Consider the following 9567-nt stretch of genomic DNA (forward strand, 5'->3'; position numbering starts at 1 on the left):
TACTACCCTCCCCACCATTTTCAAAAATAATCTCATTCTGTGGTCTAAGAAAAATAAATAAATTATAAAATAAATCATTAACACTAATCTTTGAAACAGTATTTCCCAAATTATGTTTCTTAGAACATAGCCCCTCGAGGTATGAAAATGGGACTGGGTGTGGTGGTGCATGCCTGTAATCCCAGCACTTTGGGAGCCCAAGGTGGGAGGATAGCTTGAGCCCAGGAGTTTCAGACTAGCCTGAGCAACACAGCAAGACCTCCATAACTCCCCGCCCCTCCCCCTCAAAAGAATTAGCTGGGTGTGGTGATGAACATCTGTAGTCCCAGCTACTTGGGAGGCTGAGGTGGGAGGATCACTTGAGCCCAGGGAGTCAAGGCTGCAGTGGGCTGTGATTGCGCCACTGCACTCCAGCCTGGACAGCAGAGGGAGACTCTCTCTCAAAAAAAAAGAAAAAGAAAAAAATATATAATTTGAGCCACATATGTAATTCTAAACTTTCTAGTAGTCATATTTGAGGAAATTAAAAACAGGTGAAATTCATTTTAACAATATATTTTATCCAAAATATTATCACTTCATGTAATCAATATACAATTATTAATGAGATATTTTGCATTCTGTTTTTGATAAGCCTTGAAAGCCAGTGTGTATTTTACTTACAGCATATTTCAATACAAAGTAGCCACATTTTAAGTGCTCAGTAGCTATAAGTGCTTAGTGGCTACCATATTGGTTTCTGTTAGTCTAAAACTACCACTCTTGTTTATATGTTCTTTCTTCTAAAGAGTTTATTTTTATTTATTTATTTATTTAATTTGTGAGATGGAGTTTTGCTCTTGTGACCCAGGCTGGAGTGCAATGGCACAATCTCAGCTCACTGCAAGCTCTGCCTCCCAGGTTCAAGCAGTTCTCCTCCCTCAGCCTCCCCATTAGCTAGGATTACAGGCACCCACCACCATGCCCAGCTAATTTTTGTATTTTTAGTAGATACGGGATTTCCTCACGTTGGCCAGGCTGGTCTCAAACTCCTGACCTCAGGTGATCCACTCACCTTGGCCTCCCAAAGGAATGGGATTACAGGCATGAGCCACCGCTCCCAGCTGCTTCTAAAGAAGACCTCCCCTGAGGTCAGGAATTCGAGACCAGCCTGGCCAACATGGCGAAACCCCATCTCTACTAAAAAAATACAAAAATTGGCCGGGCGCGGGTGCTCACACCTGTAATCCTATCACTTTGGGAGGCCGAGGCGGGCAGATCACAAGGTCAGGAGATCGAGACCATTCTGGCTAACATGGTGAAACCCCATCTCTAAAAAAAAAACAAATATAGCCGGGCATGGTGGTGGGCGCCTGTAGTCCCAGCTACTTGGGAGGCTGAGGCAGGAGAATGACGTAAACCCGGGAGGCAGAGCTTGCAGTGAGCCGAGATCGCGCCACTGCACTCCAGCCTGGGTGACAGAGCAAGACTCCGTCTCAAAAAAAAAAAAAAAATTCAAAAATTAGCTGGGTGTGGTGGCAGGCACCAGTAATCCCAGCTACTTGGGAGGCTGAGGCAGGAGAATCGCTTGAGCTCGGGAGGCGGAGGTTGCAGTGAGTCGAGATTGTGCCACTGCACCCCAGCCCGGGCAACAGAGCTAGACTCCATCTCAAAAAAAAAAAAAAAAGAAAAGAAAAGAAAAGAAAGCTATTTCCCAAGTTTTGATGTGAGTAACCAGTGTGTTGGTGCCATTTACTGAGATAAGAAAGGCCTGGACAGAGGCAAATTGGAGTCAAGAGTTCTGTTTTGACCATGTTAAATCTGAGATGTGCATGAGATTGCCAAGTGCACATGTCAAGCCAGGAGTAGGGTCTATAAACATGTGGCCTAAATAGGCAAATTTGAGAATCATTGGCCTGAAGATGATACTTTAAGGATATGTGTGGAAACAATGTTACAGAAAATTGGCTCAAGGAAAAGGAAAGTTATACATTTTTAAGTGCAATTAAACAAATTTAAAAACCTAGACTCATCCCTCTTAAAGGCCCTTAAACATCCCTAGAAGCCTCCTTCAGAATCTTGAAGTGTGAACTCTTGTTCTTGGTCTTCTAATTAATCCTGCCTTAGAGTCTCAAGGGCCATTCACAAGCAAGAAGCCTTTTATCATCTCTTGTAAAAAAGAACCTGCAAGAGCTGCTTCTCCTGCTGTATTTCCATTATATCAGTGCTGTTTTCTGAGTTTTTTTTTAATTGCAGTTGTGCAATATTTAAGTCACCTTATAGTTTAAATAAGTGTTTCCAGATTTGCCTTGGGAAATAAGCAGTTGATGCTGTCTCTGTGGGAAAAAAGCTCTGAGGTATACACTTTTGGAACACAACCTGCTGCCTACAAGTTAGGAATTGCCACGTTTGGTTTTAATAAGACCCCACCCTTAACTCCAAGGAGTTTATAATGTAATAATAAACATAGTAACACCAGGGCTGGGTGTGGTGGCTCATGCCTGTAATCCCCACACTTTGGGAGGGTGAAGCAAGAGGATCACTTAAAGCCAGGAGTTCAATACCACCCTGGGCAACATAGTGAGACCCTATGTCTGCAAAACAATAAAAACAATAAATTAATTGAGCATGGTGGCACTCACCTATAGTCCCAGCTACTTGGGAGACTGAGGCAAAAGAATCATTTGAGCCCAAGAGTTCAAGGCTGCAGTAAGCTGTGATTGTGCCACTGCACTCCAGCCTGGGCAACAGAGCAAAGGCAGAAACACTAAATATTATAGCATCGATTGAGCATTGCTATGGTCTGAAAGTGTTCCCCACAGATTTCTTTCTTTCTTTCTTTCTTTCTTTCTTTCTTTCTTTCTTTCTTTCTTTCTTTCTTTCTTTCTTTCTCTTTCCTTTTTCTTCTTTCTTTCTTTCTTTCTTTCTTTCTTTCTTTCTTTCTTTCTTTCTTTCTTTCTTTCTTTCTCTCTGTGTCCCTCTTTCTTTCTTTCTCCCTCTCTCTTTCTTTCTTTCTCCCTTCCTTCCTTCCTTCCTTCCTTCCTTTTTTTTTTTTTTTTGAGACAGAGGCTCGCTCTGTCGCCCAGGCTGGAGTGCAGTGATGCGATCTCGGCTCACTGTGAGCTCCACCTCTCAGGTTCATGCCATTCTCCTGCCTCAGCCTCCCAAGTAGCTGGGACTACAGGTGTCCGCTGCCAAGCCCGGCTAATTTTTTTGTATTTTTAGTAGAGACGGGGTTTCACCGTGTTAGCCGGGATGGTCTCAGTCTCCCGTCCTCGTGATCCTCCCGCCTCGGCCTCCCAAAGTGTTGGGATTACAGGCGTGAGCCACCACACCTGGCCTTCTTTTATTTATTTATTTTTTTTGAGACAGAGTCTTGTCCTGTCGCTCAGGCTGGAGTGCAGTGGCGCAGTCTTGGCTCACTGCAGCCTCCACCTCCTGGGTTCAAGCAATTCTCCTGCTTAGCCTCCCGAGTAGCTGGGACTACAGGCACACACCACCATGCGCAGCTAATTTTTGTATTTTTAGTAGAGATGGGGTTTCACCACGTTGGCCAGGCTGGTCTCGAACTACTGACCTCAAGTGATCTGCCCGCCTTGGCCTCCCAAAGTGCTGGGATTACAAACAAGAGCCACCATGCCCTGCTTCCCACAAGTTTCTGTGTTAAAATCCTGACACTCAAGATGATGGTTTTAGGAAGCTAGGTGTTTGGGAGGTGATATGGTTTGGCTGTGTCCCCACCCAAATCTCATCTTGAATTGTAGCTCCCATAGTTCCCACGTGTTGTAGGAGAGACCCCTGGTGGGAGATAATTGAATCATGGGGGTGGTTTCCCCCATACTGCTCTTGCGATAGTGAGTAAGTCTCGAGATTTGACGATTTTATAACGGGTTGCCCCTTTTGCTTGGCTCTCATTCTCTCTTGTCTGCCGCCATATAAGACAAGCTTTTGGCCTTCCGCCATGGTTGTGAGACCTCCCCAGCCAGGTGGAACTGTGAGTCCATTAAACCTCTTTTTCTTCATAAATTACCCAGTCTAAGGTATATCTTTATCAGCAGTGTGAAAATGGACTAATACAGGAGGTGATTAGGTCACGAAGGCAGAGCCCTCATGAACAAGACTAGTGTCCTTATAAAAGAGGCACCAAGAAGCTGCCTTGTGCCTTCCACTATGTAAGGACACAACAAGAAGGTGTCGTGTTATCTGTGAACTAGGAAGTGAGCCCTCCCCAGATACCGAATCTACTGGTGCCTTGATTTTGGACTTATTCTCTAGAACTATGAGAAATAAATTCCTGTTGTTATATGCCGCCAGTTTATCCGTTTTTTTTTGTTTGTTTTTTTTTTTTGAGATGGAGTCTCACTCTGTCGCCCAGGCTGGAGTACAATGGCACAATCTCAGCTTACTGCAATCTTTGCCTCCCATGTTCAAGAGATTCTCCTGCCTCAGCCTCCTGAGTAGCTGGGACTACAGGTGTGCACCACCACACCTGGCTAATTTTTGTATTTTTAGTAGAGATAGGGTTTCACTATGTTGGCCAGGCTGGTCTCAAACTCCTGACCTCAGGTGATCTGCCCGCCTCCCAAAGTGTTGGGATTACGGGTGTGAGCCACCGCACTTGGCCACTATTTTTTTACAGCAGCATCCATGGACTGAAACAAGCATGTACCCCATGCCAGGTAGTATACATCTCAGCACTTCACAGGCAGAGCTCTAATCTTCACACATGCTTGATGGGGAGGTATTATTATTCCCATTTTACAGATTAAAATGCCAAGCTTCAGAATGATTGTGTGTATTGCTAAAGACCTGGACCCGCCTTATCTTAGACTTTTCAGCAAATGTAGTTGTTCACTAAGCCTTATTATTTATTGTGGCATGTGACTTAGCTGTCTCATTTGCTAACTCAAAGGTACAAACCCCTTCTCATTTTTTTTTCTGTCAACAACAGTTTCCAGCTTATAATGGGTACTCAAATATTTAGTGAAGGAATAAATGAGAGACACAGATATGACTACACACACACACACACAAAAATAACAGGCAACAAAGTGAGACTCCATCCTTCCAAAAAAATGTAAAAATAGCCAGGCATAGTGGCGTATGCCTGTAGTCTCAGCTACTCAGGAGGCTGAGGTGGGAGGACCACTTGAGCCCCAGAGACTGAAGCTATAGTGAGCTGTGATTGCACCACTGCGCTCCAGCCTGGGTGACAGAGAAAAGAGAGAGAGAGAGAGAAAAGCCAAAAGCCCCCAAGTGCATTGGAGGGGAAGAATTGGATCCTAAAAAAGTCCTGGGATATCATTTAATCTAGAAGTCATTACCTCGCTGGCTCTAGGGAAAACGATGGCCTCAGGAGTATTTTGTGTAATTTCCAAATTCTGCAAAATAAAGTTGTGTTAGTTCCTGGCATTTATAAATTGAGAAATTGCAAATGGAAATCCAGATTTTATTTTATTTATTTATTTATTTGCTTTACTTGAAATCTGGCAATTCTGGACCCACATTCCCAGAAGTTAACAAAGAAAGAGGGGCTGAGTAGGGGCCACGCTTAGTCCCGTTTAGGCTATTCCTTAGCTCCTGTAGGCATTGGAATTTGCGCCCTCGGGCATCAAATTTCCTTATTTTGGAAGTGAGAAAACAGAGACCCAGCATAGCAGAGTGACTTCCTCTAAGGGATCCAGGTATCCCAGCCCTAACCTCTTTCCATACCGCACTGCCCAGGATACAAAAGCATCCTAAAACTCCTGATTTGTCATGACTGCACATATGCGCACATATGTCAAAGCGAGTGTGGGTTTGGAGACTCTAGAGAAATGAACCAGCCATAAATCATTTTCAAGCTAAGGAAAAAAGACTTAAATATATGAATGGGATTAGTACAAAAGGATCTTGTCAATTAAAAAATTCCAGGACAGGCTGGGCACGGTGGTTCGCGCCTGTAATCCCAGCACTTTGGGAGGCCAAGGCGGGCGGATCACAAGGTCAGGAGTTTGAGACCAGCCTGGCCGATATGGAGAAACCCTGTCTCTACTAAAAATACAAAAATTAGCTGGGCGTGGTGGTGGGCACCTGTAGTCCCAGCTACTTGGGAGCTGAGGCAGGAGAATCCATCATGCCACTGCACTCCAGTCTGGGCAAAAGAGGGAGACTCCGTCTCACGAAAAACAAACAAACAAACAACAAACAAACAAAAAAAACCCAAGGAAAATGACATTTCTGTTGCGTTTGGTCAGAAGGCCCATTGCAATCTGGGGTTCTTATTCTACCTGTTCAGGGAAATACGAAGTCCAGATGAATGTGTATTCCAATTCTGACTCAGGCTTGGTTTCACTTTCTAAATTGCTCAGCAGGAATCTGATAAGATGCTGAGAAAAGAGTAAAAAGAAAAAATTGGAGGGTGGGGCGGGGAGAGCCAGAAATAGCTGGTTTAGGGGAGGCCTCCTGGGATTACCATGAACCAATGCAGTAATTAATAATATGAGGAACAGAATCTATCCGAATGTTAATTAAAGTGTTTCCTCCTCCCTTACTCACTCTCTCTAGGGCCCCCTGGAGGTGCTCATTGAATTTACTTTTCCCAGGCCATTCTCCGCTCCCCTAGACAGATCATCTGAGGTGGGGTGCGGGGGTTGGGCGGGAAAACAGTCTCTGTTACCAGAGAATCAGAAAAACAAAAGCTGGCCGGGCTCGGTGGCTCACGCCTGTAATCCCAGCACTTTGGGAGGCCAAGGTGGGTGGATGACCTGAGGTCAGGAGTTTGAGACTAGCTTGGCCAACATGGTGAAACCCTGTCTCTACCAAAAAATACAAAAATTAGCCAGGTGTGGTGGTGGGCACCTGTAATCCCAGCTATTCAGGAGGCAGGAGAATCACCTGAACCCAGGAGGTGGAGATTGCAGTGAGCCAAGATCGTGCCACTGCACTCCAGCCTGGGTGACAGAGCACGACTTCATCTCAAAAAAAGAAAAAGAAAAAAGAAAATAAAGCAACAACCTCTGGATCATTGATCTGTAAGTCAGACAGTTTCAGACACACATCTCAGATTGAGTTTTTGTATTCCAGGACAGGGCACCTCACATTTTAATGTGCTTAGGAGAGTCACAGGGCCAGCCAGGGTGGCTCATGCCTGTAATCTGAGCACTCTAGGAGGCTGAGGCGGGAGAATCACTTGAGCTCAGGAGTTAGAGACCAGCCTGGGTAACATATCAATACCTTGTCTCTATTAAAAATAATAATAAGGCCGGGCACAGTGGCTCACGCCTGTAATCCCAGCACTTTGAGAGGCTGAGGTGGGTGGATCACAAGGTCAGGAGTTCAAGACCAGCCTGGCCAAGATGGTGAAACCCCATCTCTACTAAAAATACAAAAAAATTAGCTGGTTATGGTGGTGGACACCTGTAATCCCAGCTACTCGGGAGGCTGAGGCAGAGAATTGCTTGAACCAGGAGGCGGAGGTTGCGGTGAGCCGAGATCATGCCATTGCACTCCAGCCTGGGTGACAGAGCAAGACTTTGTCTCAAAAAAAAAAAAAAAGGAGAGCTATTCTGCCCCCGCCGCCACCCCAACTTGTTAAAGTACAGCCTCAGATTCAGCAGCTCTGGGGCAGGGCCTGAGATTTCTTTTTGTTTTTTAAGAGTTTTTTTTTGGAGACAGTCTTGCTGTCTGTCGCCCAGCCAGGAGTGCAGTGGCATGATCTTGGCTCACACCATGCCTGGCTAATTTTTGAATTTTTGGCTGGGCGCAGTGGCTCACGCCTGTAATCTCAGCACTTTAGGAGGCTGAGGCGAGCGGATCACCTGAGGTCAGGAGTTCGAGACCAACCTGGCCAACATGGTGAAACCTTGTCTCTACTAAAAATACAAAAATTAGCCTGGCGTGATGGCAGGCGCCTGTAATCCCAGCTACTTGGGAGGCTGAGGCAAGAGAATCGCTTGAACCTGGGAGATGGAGGTTGCAGTGAGCCAAGATCGCACCATCGCCCTCCAGCCTGGGTGACAAGAGTGATGACTTTGTCTCGAAAAAAAAATGTATTTTTAGTAGAGATGGAGTTTCACCATGTTTACCAGGCTGGTCTAAAACTCCTGACCTCAAGTCATCTGCCCACCTCGGCCTCCCAAAGTGCTAGGATTACAGGCATGAGCCCCCCCACCTGGCCTGTTTTTGTGTTTTTTGAGACAAGGTCTCATTCTGTGGTTCAGTCTGGAATGCAGTGACACGATCACGGCTCACTGTAGCCACAGGCGCGCACCACCACTCCCAGCTAATTTTTTGTATTTAGAGACAGGGGTTTCACCATGTTGCCCAGGCTAGTCTCCAACTCCTGGGCTCAAGTGATCCACCTGCATAGGCCTCCCAAAGTGCTGGGATTACAGGCGTGAGCCACTGTGCCAGGCCTGAGGTTCTGCATTTCTACCGGGCACCCAGGGGATGGTGACGCTGCGCGTACTAGACCACACTGGTTCTCAAACTCTCCTGCCCACTTGAATCACCTGCGGGATGTGTAAAAACTACTGATGCCTGAGTCCTATCACCAGATTCTGATTTAATTAAGTGTGATTGAAGCCTGAGCATTAGAATTTCTCAAAGCTGCCAAAGAAATCCTAGTGTGAGGTAAAGTTTGAGATACACTGCCTTAGACTAGAGCAGTCACTCTCAAACTTTTGTGTACACAAAGTTACCTGGAGAGTTTGTTACAAAAAAACCCAAAAACCCACAAAGCAAAACAAACAAACAAAAAAACCACACAGATCGCTGGGATCCACCCTCCTGAGTTTCCGACTCATCAGGTCTGGGTAGGGCTTGAGAATCTGGCTTAGGCTATAATGCAGTGGTGCCATTATAGCTCACTGTAGCCTTGAACTCCTGGGTTCCAGTGATCCTCCTGCCTCAGCCTCCCAAAGTAGCTGAGACCACGGGCACATGCCACCATGCTAAGTTTTTATTTTTATATTTTTATTTTTTAGAAACCAGGTTTTGCTGTGTTGCCCGGGCTGGTCTCCAACTCTTGGCTTCAAGCGATCCTCCTGCCTCCCAAACTGCTGGGATTACAGGCATGAGCCAATTTTTTTTTTTTTTTTTTAGTAGAGACAGGATTTTACCTTGTTGGCAAGGGTGGTCTCACCCACCCAAGAATTTGTATTTTTAACAAAGTGTGGCTGGGCGCGGTGGCTCACGCCTGTAATCCTACCACTTTGGGAGGCCGAGGCAGGTGGATCACCTCCCCTGAGGTCGGGAGTTCGCGACCAGCCTGAGCAACATGGAGAAACCCCGTCTCTACTAAAACTACAAAATTAGCCAGACGTGGTGGTGCATGCCTGTAATCCCAGCTACTCAGGAGGCTGAGGCAGGAGAATCGCTTGAACCCGGGAGGGGGAGGTTGTGGTGAGCCGAGATCATGCCATTGCACTCCAGCCTGGGCAACAAGATCGCAACTCCGTCCCAAAAAAAAAGAAGTGTGGCTGAATCTGCCAGTTCTGGTGATCACACTTTCAGAAATACTTCCTTGGGCAGGTAAAATTATGTAATGCAGTGTTCAAAATGGGAGAACAATTATTATTATTATTATTATTATTTTGGCAGGGAGGA

The sequence above is a fragment of the Homo sapiens genome, chromosome 16 (assembly GCF_000001405.40).
Source record: "Homo sapiens chromosome 16, GRCh38.p14 Primary Assembly".
NCBI classification, from domain to species: domain Eukaryota; kingdom Metazoa; phylum Chordata; class Mammalia; order Primates; family Hominidae; genus Homo; species Homo sapiens.